The sequence below is a fragment of the Homo sapiens genome, chromosome 5, assembly GCF_000001405.40.
Source record: "Homo sapiens chromosome 5, GRCh38.p14 Primary Assembly".
Taxonomy (NCBI): Eukaryota; Metazoa; Chordata; class Mammalia; order Primates; family Hominidae; genus Homo; species Homo sapiens.
In genome coordinates, this window is record NC_000005.10 from 115,322,241 (window position 1) to 115,339,667 (window position 17,427).

Sequence of the window (17,427 nt, forward strand, 5' to 3'; positions counted from 1 at the left end):
TTCCATAGGGCTCCCTTTTTATATATGTCTCTTGAAAAAACACTATTGTGTGCAATGGAAATATATTTTGTGCAGAGCTTCTATTTATTATTTTTTGTTTTTGCTTTGAAATAATTATAATTATTATAACTATTGTGAATAATTATAGATTCATGAGAAGTTACAAAAAATGTGTAGACAGGGATGTCCCGAGTACCCTTTATCCGGCTTCCTCCATTTGTATCATCTTGCATAACTGTAGCTCAACATCAAAACCAAAAAATGGACAACGGTAAAACACACAGAGCTTATTCAGATTTTACCAGTTTTATATGTCCTTAATTGTGCATGTGTGTGTGTGTGTGTACATAGTCCTATGCAATATTATCACATGTGTAGATTAGTATAACCATGACCATAATCAAGATACAAAACTGTTTCATCCACACAAGGCTCCCTCATGCTATCCTTTAATAGTCAAGTCCCCACTCCCTAAACACTAATCTGGCAACTGTTAATCTGTTCTCCATTTCTATAATTTTGTTATGTTAAGAATGTTACAATAAATGGTGTCACACTTTATGTACCCTTTCGATATTGGCATTTTTCACTCAGCATGATTCCTGTTAGATCCATGCATTATCTATCTTGTTGCATGTATCAATAGTTTGTTCTTTTTATTGCTGAGTAGTATTCCATGGTATGGATGTACCACAGTTCGTTTAACCATTCATCCACTGAAGGATGTCTGGGTTGTTTACAGGTTTTGGATGTTATGAGTAAAGCTGCTATGAATATTCATGTACAGGTTCTTGTGTGAACATGAGTTTTCATTTCTCTGAGATAAATGTCCAAAAGTGCAATTGCTGAGCTGTATGGTGTGTTAGTTTGTTTTCTGTTGCTATAACAGAATACCTAAGACTGGGTAATTTATAAAGAAAAGAAATTTGTTTCCTCTAGTTCTGGAGGCTGAGAAGTCCAAGATCATATCACTGGCATCTGGTGAGGGCCTGCTTGCTGTGTCACAACATGGTGGAAAGCATCACATAGCAAGAGGGCAAGAGCATGTGTGTATGGTAGCCCAGGTTTCTCATCCTGTTCTTATAAAGCCACCAGTCCCATCATGAGAGCCCCATCCTGATGAGCTTATCTCATCCTAATCATCTCCCCAAGTCCCACTTCTAATCATCATATAAACTTGGGGATTACGTTTCCAATACATGGAATTTGGTGGATACATTCAAACCATAGCATATGGTATGTGCATGTTTAGTTTTAAAGAAACTGCCAAATTGTATTCCAGTGTGACTGTACCATTTTATTTCTATTTATTTTCTAAAGTATATGTTAAATAATAAAACACTTTTGTTATTTAATATTAACTGCAATATTTATTATGTGTATTTTAAAATTTAATCAAGTTGTTTATTTTACCACTTGGTAAATTACAAAATTCATCTTAGAGATTTATTTTTAATGTAAAATTAACCTAATAGAGGAAGAGAATGTAATCCTCTTAGTGTTCTTCTGCTATTGAATATACGTTATGTAGTTGATCTTTATTGATGTTTACCTCTTTAGTCTTATAAAAAAGCTGTTGCACTCCAAGGATATACAGAATGTGTTTTTTTCCTCTTTTCATAAATAGAGAATATAAATAAAGTGAAACCAAAAGATTCTTCCAATAACATACAGTTTAAGAGGAGAAGCCCTTATTGGGTTGGCTCAAAGTAAAATTTAAAAACCACAGAAGAACTTGATTTTTGTCTCTTCTCTTCCTTTATATTGTATGTAGGTAGATCAAAAGATCAAATTTCAAGAACTTTAAAAAAAGTCAGAATGTGCTTAGAAATAAAGGTAGGATTCTATATATAAGGAGCAAACAGAAACTAGGACAACGGGTGACACAATTTCATGGACTGCAGAAGAAAAAGAGTCCATGATCAACTGCAATATCCATGACTCAACTGACAAATATTTGTTGAGAACCCACTATATGCCAGACACTGTAATGGGAGCTGTGGGGAGATGGGAGTTTAAAGATTTAGGATAAGAAATATAATGCCACCCAAACCCTTCCTGTCTAGCTGGGAGGCAGTGGATCATGCATGAAGAGACTGGAGAGTGATACAGAAAGGCAGATACTTAATGACAATGGCTGACATGCACTTGATTGTGGGCCGAACACTGGGCAGAGTTTTGCAGATGTTACTCAATCCTCACAACAACTCTGTGAGGTCACTCTCAGCATTACCATTTTACAGATGAGGAAACTGAGGACTGAGGAGTTAAAATATAACATGTTATTTACAACAGTCATTTTCCATGTTCACTGAAAGAGTCTTTCTCATCTATATTATCTTTCCTGTCTTGAAGATGGAATGGACACATTCTCTCTCTTACAAATGTGTAGGCTGAGCTGGGAGGCAACTATAGGATACAATCTTCTCTGGCCAAATGTAGCACCAAGGCTTACTCTAGCCACTGCATATTGAACTTCTCTGAGCTCCAGGAAGCAGGGATTACAACCCAGATCCTTTCCACTCCTCCATCTTTGTTTTCCACCTTTCTTTTGGCCAAAACCCCTTGTCAAACATTTTACACTGAAGAAAAGGAAAAGCAAGGAATTTCTTTGAAAAATAAAGTAGGGAAGGAGTCAGTCCCACCTGTTCTCACCACTTCCCTCCCATGGAGGCCCCTGAAGGGCTCATATTTAAGAAGCTCCTGCACCAAGCCCTGCTGACTCTTGTTTTTTCTCTGAACCTAGGAGGCACAAAACCATTATCCTTTTGGCTGCAATGGAATGAGAGTCCTGTTGAGAAAATGGAAGTGGTACCCAGGTGAGCAGGGTGAAGGAGGTCACACCTCACTTACTTGAGTACTTGGAAGGCCCAGGTGCCCAAAGGGTCCCACCTCATCTGCTCCTCTTCTTGCTAACACCGGGATTCCACAATTAGAGCATTGATGTTAAAATGCAGGTGTTTTTAAAGGAGTAAAAGTTTAAGCTATAGTCAGTCTGTCATTTGCACCTAAATCTTAATTAAAATTTTGAAAGTTGTTAACAGCTGGGAGAAAGAAGCAAAAGATTGCCCAAACTGGGAAACCAGGCTAAAAAATATCCCTCAGCTTCACAATATTTTTGAGATCCAGACTTCAATGTGATATTGTGTCCAGAAACCTTCCTGCCTGATTCAAGTAGGTGAAACCATATCAGAGCAGAGGCAGTTCAAGGCACAAACAAGCTGCACAAAGCATTTGCTTGGCTTTTGTACTGGGCTTTAAATAGAAAACACAACGGCTATGTCCAGATTTGAGAATTTCATATGGAACATGAGGTCATCCAGCCGCTTTTTAAAACAGGCAAATCTTTTAAAGTAGATTTTATTGCTTCCAAAATAATTTGGTATTCTTTGGAGGCTTGCTTTCTTTTATACCATGTGGTTTTCTTTTGGCTTCTTAGATTAAAAGAATATGATAAATATATTCAACATTTAAAAAACAAACCCAAAGTTATGCATGTTCAAGAGAGAGAACTTTCACCCTTGCGTTTCTGATGTCAGTCTTTGATACTCTGCCAGGATTTGATTTTGAGCCATTAATCCATTGGGATGATATAAAAATCTATGTCCTCTGCCCCATGACCCACAGCTGGAGGCATTCAACAGAAAAACTAACATTACAGATGATGTTTCACAGAGCCCACTGGCAGCTTTCAGGGTCAGAGGTTCTAAAAAGAGGAAAATTTTATAGAGAGTTTCTATGTAAAGATTCTTAGCAAGTCTCTCTCTTTTGACTATTCTGATCCACTCATCTTTCCTTTTTGTAGAGTGAAAAGAGATTAGAACAAGATAGACTGAACACATATGCCTACCTCTCCAAATCCTTTCAATTAACAGAATACATATTTTATAAATAAATAAATGCATATAATGCCGGAAAACAAGAATGACTGCCATTAATGTACTAGGAATTTTGAAAGTTACCTGAAAAACAGAAAGAACTTAGGATTGGGTTGATAAAGGAAATCATAGCAGCCCAGACCACTGCTGGGAGGACTGCTGCAGAGGTGGGAGCTGTTCTGGTACGTCCAAGCACAGAGACGCTGGACTCCAGATGTGAACAAATGAGACTCACACACTATGGGGAGTTTGTGACTTACTGGAAACAATGTATTAAAAAATTCAATTTCTATATATTTTCCCTAGAAAAATACATGTATACATGCACAAAGAGTATGAGTAAGTTATTCATTGTAGGATTGACTGAATTATGATACAATCATGTGATATGTTTACAACAGTGGGAAATAAAAAAACTACTGGCATTTAAAATCCTGTACTAGCATGTACAGATGTCTATGACACTGTGCTAAGCTTTAAAAAAGCTTTTAAAAAGTAGTAGAATTAACCCTAAAAGCCTAATTCTGCTTATCTTAAATTCCAGTGGTTAATTTTCTGTATGTAAATCTATAAATATATGTATGTATTTGTGTAAATATATATAAAATTGTCTGGAAGGATATATATATATATATCAAACTGTTAGCCATGATTACATTCTTTTTTAACATGCTTCTGTGTAGATTGAATTTGAAGAAATAGAATATACTTATGTATTGTGTGATTTTTTAAAAAAAATTAAAGTTTTAAGGACATAGAGGAAACCAACTATTGCAAACAACCAAAGTGCTAGACTTAATAAAGTTCTAATTAATAGATTTCAGGTAAATACATTATTCCTTACTGTGCTTATTCCTAGTCTCACTATGTATCATAGTTTAAAAAATATGTGTGATACCCTCAGGCTGGGAAAAGTGGACCAAGTAATAGCAAATGCCTCTCTCTGCTTTAGAAGTAAAAGGGAAGGACCATGCTTGGGAGATCTCAAGTATTGTAACATCACACTTGTAATTGCTGAAATTCAAAGATTTGGGGAAGAGAATGCAACAAGCATAATCTACAACTATCGGAAGCCCTAGTAGGGGGCTTTCAGAATCTAGCTGCTCCCATTGGTTGGAAGTCTCAATGGGAATGGCATGCTCTAAATAACCACCTTGACTGTAATGTAAAGAATAACACATGGGCCTTTCCAAACATGCCCCGTCATGGAACTCCAAACCCTTGTATGACGTTTGCTAATAGTAGTGGCTTACAAATATGTGGGCGAACTGGAGACATCTGGACCGACAGCCCTTGCCACAAGGATCTTCTGAGATATTGGCCAGGGCATATTATGTCTCTAATTTTTTGAAACTCCATTTGTCAGGTGGACCCTCTTCATTTGGCATGTCAAATTCCAAATGGCACTGTAAGTGACTATCCTAAATATGGTTATCCTTATCCCAGGATGTCCTTATTATATGTAAAGAGGGAAAACTTCTGAGATATGAGAAAAATCTGCCAGTGTCTCTCACAAGCCACAACTTAAAACCATCTCTTCAAGGAACAGGGCTATATTTTCTGTGTGGCTCCTGGATACACTTAATCCTCCCAAGAAAGTGGAAGGGAATTTGTACTACAGTTGCAGTAGTTCCTGACTTATTATTTTTAAGTTCTACTGAGATGGCAGCATCATCTGGGGACATCCCTAACTTAAGCTCTTTTCTAGAAACTGCACTAACTCGAATACACCAGACAAAAAGATCTATCATTTCTATGCCTTCATATGGAGATTTAACTGAAAGCGCAGACTGGGGAGGGCATGCACATGACAATCTCTTCTTAGAAGAATCCATGGATGGGAAATTCTATAGCCAGAGGTCTATTCTGGTCTGCAGACATACCTCTCCTTGAAAGATCAATACTTAATATCTCTGTTATGATGCAACGAGGATGGAAGGAAACTGTAGGGGCCATAGAGGCACGACAGCAATCTATAGTCTCTTTAGCCTCAGTAGTAACACAAAATAGACAGGCCTTCCATGTCCTTATGGCTGGAGTAGGAGGTACCTGTGCACTTTCAAATGAAACATGTTGCTTCTAGATTAACACCTCTAGTAAAGAAGAGGAAAATCTACAGGTGCTTAAAAGATCAAATCAAAATTTTTGACAGGCTCAGAGAAAATGCCGGCTTCAGCCCCCGGTGGCTACAATCCTTATTTAACGAATTCCAGTCTTCTTCATGGAATTGGTTGACCCCTTTATTAATCCCTCTCTTGCTTGTATATCTTGTATTAATATTTGGACCCTGTATACTCAATACTGTAACTCGATTGTTTCTTCTCACCTAGAATCAGTCAAACTCCAAATGGTGCTGCAAACTGAACCACACATGGACACGCCGTTCTGAGGACCTTTAGATCAACCCCAGGAGAAGTCTTAGATGCTGTTCCCCATTCAATGCCCCTTTTCAGCAGGAAGTAGCCAGATAGAGTTGTCACCCAGAACCCCCTAACAGCCGTTGGGGTGATATCTCCACAGGGAGAAATGAGGTAGGAGTTATTAAGAAATTATTTTAGACAGGTAGAGAGGAAAAAGGGGTCCTTGGAAAATTTTTTTACAGCTCTTCTCTAGCATGAAAGCCCTGGCTCTTAGACCCAGGCCAGCAACCTTTGATATGCAAATGCAAGCCGTTAGAAACTGGGTCCACCCAGCACGGCTGGGCTGGCAACCTTAATATGCAAATGCAAGTCATTAGAAACTGGGTAAACGGTCACACTCCCATTATTGTGAAGGTGCAATTCTACCCACGAGGCCTGCAGGCTCTCCTCCTGCAGCTCAGGCTTTCCTCTCTGATGTGACACTAGAGTGCTGCTGTGGGAAATGTGGTTCACATAAACTGAGCTGTGCTCAAGGCTGTGCCTCAGTGGCAGATGATAGAGGTCAAGAGAGGACACTAGCAACAGGAAAAAGCAAGCAGGAGTGCTGTAGCCCAATGCCACGGAGCACAGAGCCACTGCTCTAAAAGGTAAATAGCCAAGAGGATAGAATGCTTTTCAACCATTTTTGTAGCAGGTTCAAAGCCTACCTTCAGCAAGTACCTGGCTTCAAGCTGCTAAACTACCTCCTGTTATGAAGATGTGAAAAGTTTTTTTGTCATTGAATATAAACAATTAGCATACACAGATAGCCTCTTCAATCTCCATGTGAATTTAGGATTAACTATGTATGACATGGTACTGTAAATTCTTCTACTTGTGGACTAATTTTGGTGACCATCTTTCTGTCTCTGCAGTCTCTTAAGCAGATTGACTATGATGCATGTCACATTCAAGTTTGTGTAATAAAACAGTTTTCTTTCTGTTCTAAAAAAAAAAAAAAAGAAAGAAAAGAAACTGGGTCCACTCAACATGGCGATTCCCACAGCTGTCCTCTTGCCCTTCCCCCACATGTGTCTGGCAGCATGACCACCCCCACATATCCCCACGTGTGTGGAACATCATGGTGCCCTACATTTGCATATTAAAAGGCTAGGGTAGGAGGGCCAGTTTTTTCCGCCGGTTACGTGAATGACATGCCTAGTCAAACCAATCCCCTGAGTCCTATGCAAATCAGACCCAGCCTCCTCCAGCCATTGAATATAGCTGGCTGATATTAGCTAAGTGTGGAGTTCTGTCTCTCAGCTTTGGAGCCCCGCTCCCTCTGTCTCTGTACAAGGGAGCTTCTTCTTTCTTTCTTCCCGTTTCTTTCTTGCCTATTAAACTCTGCGCTCCTTAAAACCACACACACACGTGTGTGATAGCAGTTACTTTAAGTATCATTTAGAACACACTGGCCTAGAATTGAGGAGGTATCATTTCAGCAAGGTCACAGTAAGGTAAATAACCATATGATGAATCTCATGAACAAGAGTAAAAACATCAGTCAGAATGGCTATTATTTAAAAGTCGAAAAATAGCAGATGCTGGTGAGACTGCAGAGAAAAGGGAACGCTTATACACTGTTGGTGGGAATGTAAATTCGTTCAGCCATTGTGGAAAGCAGTTTGGAGATTTCTCAAAGAACTTAAAACAGAACTATCATTTGACCCAGTGATCCCATTACTGGATATATACACAAAAGAAAATAAATAATTCTACAAAAAAGACACATGCACCTGTACATTCATTGCAGCACTATGCACAATAGCAAAGACATGGAATCAACCTAGGTGCTCATCAATGTGGATTGGATGAAGGAAGATGTGGTACATATACACACGGAATATTACACAGCCATAAAAAGAATGAAATCATGTTCTTTGTAGCAACATGGATGCAGCTGGAGGCCATTATCTTTAGTAAACAAATGCAAGAACAGAAAACTCAATATTGCATGTTCACACTTACAAGTGGGAGCTAAACGGTGGGTACACATGGACATAAAGATAGAAATAATGACACTGGGGACTACTGGAGGTGGGGAAAGAGGGGAACAGGGGTCAAAAGACTACCTATCGAGTGCTGTGCTCACTACCTGGGTGACAGGATCATTCATACCCCAAACCTCACGCAATAAACCCATGTAAAAAACCTGCACATGTATCCCCTAAATCTAAAATAAAAGTTGAGATAAATAAATAAATAAATAAATAAGAGTGAAAAAAATGAGCATAACTCTTAGTTTTTTCCTGGCACTTTCTGATTTCCTTGACCAATATGGTTTCATGCTGGAGCTTTTATAGAGATTAGAAATGAATATGCAAATTTAGAAGCCAGGCTCAAATCCTCAGAATTTAGCTTAAGTTCATTCCAATATTTCAGTGTTGTAGTTTAATTTCATTTTCCAAAAACGATGTTTTTCTCCTTATCCAAAATCTAAGCAATTTTTTTTTTAAATTTTTACCAGCTTAGTCATTGTATAGCTTTATCATTTGCTTCCTTCTGCTTGCTTTGGGTTTTTCTAGGGTTTTCCCCTTTTTCTAGGTTCTTGAGATTTTTCTTCTTTTCTAAGGTAGGCATTTGGTGCTGCAAATTTCCCTTTCAGCACTGCTTTAGCTGTGTCCCACAAATTTTTATATGTTGTATTTTCACTTTCATTCAGGTCAATGTAATTTTAAAATTACCATTAAAACTTCTTCCTTGACCCACGGATTATCTAGAAATATGTTGCTTAGTTTCCAAATGTTTAGAGATTTTCCCCTTATCTTCTTGTATTGGTCACTAGTTTGGTACCACTGTGGACAGAGAATACACTCTGTATTATTTCAATCCTTTTAAATATGTTGAGGTGTGTTGTTTGACTCAGGATGGGCCTGAGCATATTGATGGGACTTGTTCACTGTGCTCCAGCTTAGTATACATTCTGTTGGCACATGAAAAGAATGGGTATTTTTTTGTTGCTAGTTGGCATGTTCTATAAATGTTGATTAGATTCTGTTGCAGCTCTTTTTTTGGGTACATACACATTTAGGATTGATATGTCTTCTTGGTGGATTACTCTAAATGTCCTTCTTTGTTTCTGATAATAATGTTCTTTGCTCTGAAGTCTACTTTATTTGATGTTAATATAGTCACTTCTGCTTCCTTTTGACTAATGTTCAAATGATGTATCTTTCTCAGTGATACTTTTTTTTAACTTTCAATCTGCTATATTGTTATTGAAGTAAACTTCTTGTAGACAGTATATAGTTGAGTCATGTTTTTAAATCCATTCTGCCAGTCTTTTAAGTGACATATTTAGACTATTTACATTTAATGTAATTATTGATATCTTAAGACCTAAGTCTGCCATTCTATATTTTATTTCCTCTTTGTTCTCTTTTTTTTTGTTTGGTTTGTTTCCATTTTCCTTTTCCTATATTCCTGTGGATTACTTGAAAAATTTTTAGAATTCCATTTTGATATTTGCAGTGTTTTTTAGTGTTTTGAGCCTATGTCTATAGCTTTTTTGGTCATTGCTGTAAGTAGTAACATTACTTATATAACTTATCACAGTCTATTGGTACTGTCATTTTACTAGATTGAGTGAAATGTAGAAACCTTACATGACTTTATCCTTCCTCATTTATAATTGTTTGAAGTATTTCCTTTTTACACATTTAGAATCATACCAGACAATGTTATAATTTTTGCTTCAATCTTCAAACATGATTTAGAAAACTAAAGAGGAGAAGGCTCTGCTCATTTTTTTTTCAAATTGATATAAAATTATTGTACAGATATCTGGGATACCTGAGGTATTTTGATATAAATACACAATATGTAATGATCAAATTAGGATAATTGGGATATTCATCTACTCAAATATCATTTTAAAGTCCATTTTCTCTGCTGTTGTTCAGATTAGCTAATTTCTATTTTCCAGTCGACCAATTCTTTCTTCTTTTTCCTCTGTTCTGCTGTTGAGCTGATTCACTGAGGGTTTTTTTTGTTTTTTTTTTACTTAGGTTGTTGTACATTTCAGTTTTAAAAATTTCTATTTTTTTAACATTGTCTATTTCGTTGCTTCACTTCCTTTGTTTTTTTTTTCTTTAGACAGAGTTTTGCTTTTGTTGCCCAGGCTGGAGTGCAATGGCGCCATCTCAGCTCACCACAACCTCTGCCTCCAGGTTCAAGCGATTCTCCTGCCTCAGCCTCCCGAGTAGCTGGGATTACAGGTGCCTGCCACCATGCCCGGGTAATTTTGTATTTTTAGTAGAGATGGGGTTTCTCCATGTTGGTCAGGCTGTTCTCAAACTCCCGACCTCAGGTGATCCACCCACCTCAGCCTCCCAAAGTGCTGAGATTACAGGCCTGAGCCACCACACCCGGACTTCTTTGCTTCACTTTCTAAGTTTCTGTTTGTTTCATGCATGTTTGTAATTGCTTGCTGAGACATTTTTTATGGTGGCTGCTTTAAAATGTAATCAGCTAATTCTAACATCTCTGTCATCTTAATGTTGGCTTTTTTTTCCATTGAATTTGAACTCTTTTTGGTACAATTGACATTTGGACATTTGAGGTATTTTGTTACAAGGCTCTGGATCTTATTTAAGCCTTCTGTTTTATCTGGATTTCCAGACACTGCTCCAAAAGTGAAAGGGGGTTGCTACCTTATTACTGCTGGGTGGGGTAATTCAGGTTCTTCTCTTGGCCTTTGTTGACACCTTCTAATTTGTGCTCCTCATTACTGCTACATAGGGGTGGAAGTTCTGACTCCCATGAGGCCTCTATTGATGCCTCTGTGGCTGCAGGGGGTAGAAGTTCCCTTGATACTGTGCCACTTAAGGAGGTATAAAGGGTTAGCCTCAAAACCACTGGGTGGTGTTGAAAGTGCTGACTCTCCACTAGGCCTCTTCTGACACTAGCCCAGCGGGGAGGAGGAGGATGTCTTGCTACCATCCACTGAGTGTAGAATTACAGGCTTCCCACATGGCCTCAACTGACACCATGGTGGGAGAGGCTTGTTATATTCTGGCAGGGATGAAAGTCTCAGCTTCCTTCTTGGACTTTTTTGACACAACCTCACTATAGCCTGGGGAAGGTGGAAGACTGGGCACCCCACTCAATATTTGCTGGTATGGGTGAGGGAGCCACAGTTTTTTCTGCGCAGTTAGGCTGGAGGGGAGCAGTTTTTTGCCTTGCTATGTTGTCCTTTTCCTGGTCCTTTGGTAGAGAGAACAGGCTTTTGTTGGGCCTTTTTTTGTCTGTATACATTGACTTTTCTGGGTGGCTGGCTTCTTCAGTTCCAAGTCTGGGAAACAAAAGGAAAACCCAAGGAGTTCAACACTAAATTTCTTCTTGTGTTCCTATTGTTCCTAGACGATCTGCCTTTTCTCTACATTTCAGAGTCTTTTTATTTTCCTTTTATACATAATGTCCAAAGTTTTTAGTTATACTTAATGAGAGGAATAGGGAAAAATGTGTCTACTTCAGCTTCCTGGAAAGGGAAGTCTACCTTTTCCTTTTAAAATGTTCTCTATTTTTATTTAATTTAGAAAACAATGCATGCTACTTTAACAGGTGAAATAATAAAAAGATACATAAATAAAACCTAAATAATAAAAGTACTATCATTGCTACCCCTCTGTTCTCAAGCTTCTTTCTGAGACAACAAATGTTTATGGCCTGGGGTATATACTTATCATCTTTCTTTGTCATGTTGATATGAACATACTTAAATATAAATATGCACTTTTTGTTTGATTTTATCTCTGCAAAAATGATTTTCTACTTGTCCAACATAAGCAAAATTTGCGTTGTATTTAAGTTTAAAAATTATCAGAGGAACTATTATTAAGACACTGGAGGAGAGACAAGCAAAATAAATTGCTATCTCAAATAGCAGAAGTTACCGTGAGTCTTCATTATGTGGGAGAAAGACAGAGATGGGAAAGGAAAAGTAGAAAAAAAGCATCAGCGATACATTTTTTTCTGAGTATATACATATACATATATATACACACTTTTGATCATATATATGATTAAAACAGTTTAACTTATAGCCTATCACACTTTTCTACACTTGGAATCTGATCCTAGGATATATTTAAAAAGGGGAACCTGTGGTCCAGAAGGTGTCCAGAGAATGGACTGCAGGAAAGACGATTATGTCACTTGGTGAGTACCCAAGAGCCATTTGGACCAGGTCCCAACAGAAGTGTGTCTTCTTACTCTCTGGTGAACACCTCTCATTGCCACAACTAGGGTCTTGAGGATCCTGTTTGCGCAGAGGAAAAAAATCTCCATCTGCATCAAGTCCTCAAAGTTCAGAAAGACTCCTGCCCAACCAGAGGGATGAGGGAGGTGGATCTTTGGCACCTCAGCTTTAGGGACTGAAGGCTCAAGACCAAGGAGCCAAGACAGAAGATAGTGACCCCCTCCCCCACCCGGACATACATGGTGGGGGTCTTGACACCTAAGAAGGCAATGAAGCATCCTCTTAGAGGCATTTCTGCTCAGCGTGGTGACAATTGCTCTTTTAGAGCTCTGTGGTTTCAGGAAAGAATGAGGCCTATTTTCCAGAGCCCAGGTCTGAGGAGACTCACCTAACATTTTGTCAGCTACTTCAGAGGGTTCTCAAGTGGAGGTGAAGCTGGGTCTCCTGAGTAACAGCAGCACTGCTCTATGCTTCCCCACTTCTATTCATCATAGTCCATTTAAGGTCTTAACTGTTTGGTTCATCTTGTTTAAATAGTGGCTAGAAGCACAGACTCTATAACCATACTTCTGGGTTCCAATCCTAGCTCCAAGCCTTGCAATTGTGGCCTTGGAAAAGTTACTTATCCTTCTTTCTCCTTGATTTACTTCTCTGTAAAATCAGTATGATAAACATAGGTCTGATATGGGGATTAAATAAGTTAGAACAAGGCTAGTCACATGATAAGCACTCCTAAAGTACCAGCTGCTTATTCTTCTAGTCTTTTCAAATCCAATGCTTTTCATGAGTTCACAGAGTAATTGTGGTGCATCTTGAAGCTGTGTTACAGCTTTCTGAGTTTCATCATTCTCCTTTGATAATTTTTGAACAGAGGGAGTAGGAAGTTAAATGTGTACGTGACCGCAGTGGAAAGGGTTGAAAGTGTAACCTCTTCTTGTTCAAAGAAGTCTGAGGGTGGGAGGCAAAAGATGGACAGATAGCTGGACGGCATATCTATGTGAAGGCAAAGAAGAGGTATGCATGGAAATTCAGTTATTTTATAGATTGAAAACAATTGGCAAAAAGATTTCTTCATTTAAAATATTGTAGGAAACTTTCTGAATTTCATCATGTACAAACTGTCCCTGTGATGGCATTTGGGAAGGTTGTGGAGGAAGGCATGGGAAGTGTGATATTGTCTATTTTGGAGACAGAGTAGAAAGGCTCTTGTTCCCTCTCTGGGCTGCAGATCAGCTTCCCTCCGCCTGGTTCCAGAAGTCATTCGTTCTATTTTACTGTTTTCATGTTCACTTTCGAATGTAAGATGGCCTGGAGATGTCAGGCCTCCAGGTCACTTCTCTTGAAAGATGACTTCAGAAAGAATAACATTGCTTTCAGTCTTGTGTTTCTGAATGTTTTCTCCTTAAGTGATTTAATGATCCCCCCACCTCCTTTAAATATAGCCAGGTTAAATGGGTGTGCTGTTTGAAGCCAGGCTCAAAATAGGAGCAATTAAATTCATTCGACCTTTGAGGGATGAATTAGTTAAAGAAGTATACTCTTTATTTCCAATAAATGGTACAACAACTTGAAACCTGATTCACAGCTACATTGCAACATTCTCAATATTATGAGATGATCTTGGTGTTCAACCTTACACAACTATTTATATCTCACCATCTTAAAGCATGGAAACTTCTGTTGCTGAACCTGTTCCAGGGATGTGCATGGATCTGAATAATGAATAGGGAACTTCCTTTAAGAACACAGAGTCTCTGTCATACAAATACTTCATTTCTTAGAAATAGCCAGCTGGGCATTTGCAACAATGCCAAAGTTGTTCCCAAACTTACATTGTAGAAAAGAACTGACAGTCATCCCCTACTTCCATATGCATTAATTACATCATGGAAGAGGGTAAGGCATTATTAATTTTATCTGCACATGATTTTTCTCTTCCCAAATCCAGGAAATATTGATGTTGTGGTTTAACATAATTAGAACCTTGGAGTCAATTTTCATTCCTGAAAACATATAAAAATTACTCGTATAATTACTTGAGTCCTCACTGACCACATTAATGAACCATATTCTTTTTGTTTAGTAAAAATCCTTTTAATTATTCTTTGACAAACCTTTTCTTTCATGTATTTCTGTGTCCTTAAAGTCAGAAAATTCCTCCATTCATCTTCTCTAAAACCAAGACAGAGTCTCCTAATCATTGGAAAATTCATCTTTTATTTATATGTCAGCTGATAACTAAGTAAGGATTCTGAAGTGAAAACAGAAGAGTTGCGCTCCACTCCCCTGGCCATGACCCTCTCTGCCATTTTTCTATATCTTATTTTTAAAAGCAATTTTTTATTGTGTAATTTGGTAAAAAGAAAATAGAAATAAGTAATATGAGGTAGATAGCTCAGCCTAAAATAGCACTGGACACAAACAGCATTTCTCAATTTGTGATGACAACATCACCTACATCAGAAGACTCTCCTAGAGAGCTTGTTAAAAATACAGATTACTGGGCACTACCCCAGATTTATTTAGTCAAAATGTTTATGGGTGGGGCCAATCTTGCATTTTTAACAAGCTCCCTGAGTGATCCTTATGCCCACTGAAGTTCAAAATGTTTAAAGTTTGCTGAAGTTGTTCCTCTTGCCTAGCCCCTCAAAAGTGACAGCTTCGTAATAACTTAGAGACAACATCTGTTCCACCTTAATACAATAGGGATGGAAAGTAAGGAATAAATAATTATCAAATGTATAACGTGCAAGAAACTGTGCTAAGTAGGAAATTTATAGACATGCTTTCCTTAAATATTACAACAACTCTTTGTTGAGGTATTGATGAAATGTAAAGTCAGCCTCATAAGAGGTGGAACCAGAATGAATATCCAACTTTCTGTAATTTGATTATCGCACCCTACACCTATCTCCTGGAGCTGGGAACCGTCTCTATGGCTGTACAAAGTCTGGGAAATGGATTGATGCATTACCCCGGGAGATCTTAGTTGGCCCAGGGGTGGCACTTGGTCTTGGGGATGGCTCATTATTCTGATGATCAGTTGAAAGCTCACAGATGGTTTATGGAGTGACCCTTTGTCCTACATGTGTCTGGCAAGAAATATAGATAGGACGACAGGGCAAGTTTTTCCCCAATATATCATTAAGTCAATCATTACTAAAGTTTTTTAAACAAGTGTATCAGCTACCATTTACTGATGATGCGTACTAGACTCTATGGTATGCACTTTTCAGAATTTACTCTTCATAATGACCCTATGCAGTAGGTGCTATTATTATCCCTATCTTCTCAGTTAAGTAAGAAAAATGTTGTGAAACTTGCTTACACTCATAGCCTGTAAGCAGCAGAGGCTGAAATATCTGTTTGGCTCTAAAGTTCATTGGAGTCCCATATACAGGAACTGATGGTGCAAAGTTCAACTCATGCCATGGTACTTGAGTAGAGATCCATTCCTGTCATACATTCACAGAAAACTTTATATCTCTTCATTTATTATTAAGTAAATAGGATTCAGTAACTGTGGGCCTACCTGTTGTACAGTCTCTTTCTCTCTTCCTGGATATCCCCAATCCTCCCTTCTTCTTACTCTTTCAAGTCTTAAGTGTCCATTTAATTTAAGGTGAGGACACATTATCTTGTTCCATTTGAGAGCTGTCTTGGGTTTTACATGCATATGATAGAACCGATGCTAACCTTCAGCAGCCTAAACAGAGTAATTTTCTTCAGACATTCCAGATGGAGCTGTGCCAATTATTGGTGAACACTTAACTGTGAGTGGGACCTGGATAATGACTATACATAATAAGTTTCACATCATCTATTAAGACGTTGCTTATGTGGATGTGGGTACAGGAACATTTGGTCCCCCACCAACACATCATACACACTGTATATCTTACATTAAGAGAGAATTAGTCAAATGCTACAAGTAAGAAGATTTAAACTTGCCTTCCATCTTAGTCTGTTCTTGCTGCTATAATAAAATGCCATAAACTAGGTGACTTATAAACAATAGAAATTTATTTCTCACAGTTCTGGAGGCTGGGAATTCCAAGATCAAGGCACCAGCAGACCCAGTGTTTGGAGGGCTCACTTCTTCATTGTCTTTTCATCATAGCCTCACGTGGAAGAAAAGGTAAGGGATTTCTCTGGGATCACTTTTACAAGTACAAGGGTACTCATTCCATTCTAATCAGCTCCCGAAGAATCACCTCCAAAGGCTCCACCTCCTGATACCATGACCTTATGGGGTAGGATTCCAACAAACGAATTTTGAAGGGACATAAACTCAGTCTATTGCAGTGTTCTTCTCCTGTAATACAGCTCACTGCATATGCAGATGTCACCTGACGGTCTGTGAATCACCCTGTGGAAAATGGGGCTCAAGGAACTGGTGGGAAAAAGAGGCTGATACTCTGGCTATTGCTAGTGCTGTGTATGAGCAATAAAGTTCTTTATCTCTAACCCAGGTGTGTTGTGTCTTTTTCTAGGATCTGTTAAACCATGGCAGGCTGACTTGTTATGGTAGTGAAAGGTATAAAATCTCAGACATTTCCTTCACAGTTCTTCACAACAGCAATATTATTATTATTGTGCTTATTGTTGTTAACCAGAAATTATTGAGCACCTATTATAAAATAAATGAACCAAACTCTGTTCTAAGTAATGTACTATATTATCTCATTTAATTTTTATAACAGTGTTGTGAATTATACAACATTATTATCATCTTATAGATGATAATACTGAGATTCAAAAAATGGACATTGTTGGTTGGCTTCTTAGTATCCATTTCCCTCTGTTCAGTTGCATTCTGTTTCATTTACTCTCACCTAGCAAAGACGTTGTTCCTTCCTTTAGCTTTAAGAGTGAGCCTAAGGGAATGACATTCTTCTGGCCATAGGACTTGGTCAGGAAATGAAACATTATCCAGTTTGGACAAAGGAAA

General features: G+C 38.2%; 1 long non-coding RNA gene across 3 annotated transcripts in view; it reads left to right on the plus strand.

The window, feature by feature from the left end:
* LOC105379129 (uncharacterized) overlaps nucleotides 1–16,691 on the plus strand; it is a 42,004-nt gene extending 25,313 nt beyond the window's left edge. For 2 of the 3 annotated variants that reach the window (XR_948683.3, XR_948684.3), the window contains exons 3-5: nucleotides 2,747–2,819; nucleotides 6,209–6,409; nucleotides 16,512–16,691. This is a non-coding gene — a long non-coding RNA (uncharacterized LOC105379129). Of the gene's footprint in view, nucleotides 1–2,746; nucleotides 2,820–3,805; nucleotides 3,876–6,208; nucleotides 6,410–16,511 lie in introns of those variants that run through there. The other variant, XR_948685.1, reaches the window with a different exon arrangement.
* The last annotated feature ends 736 nt before the right edge of the window (nucleotides 16,692–17,427 follow it).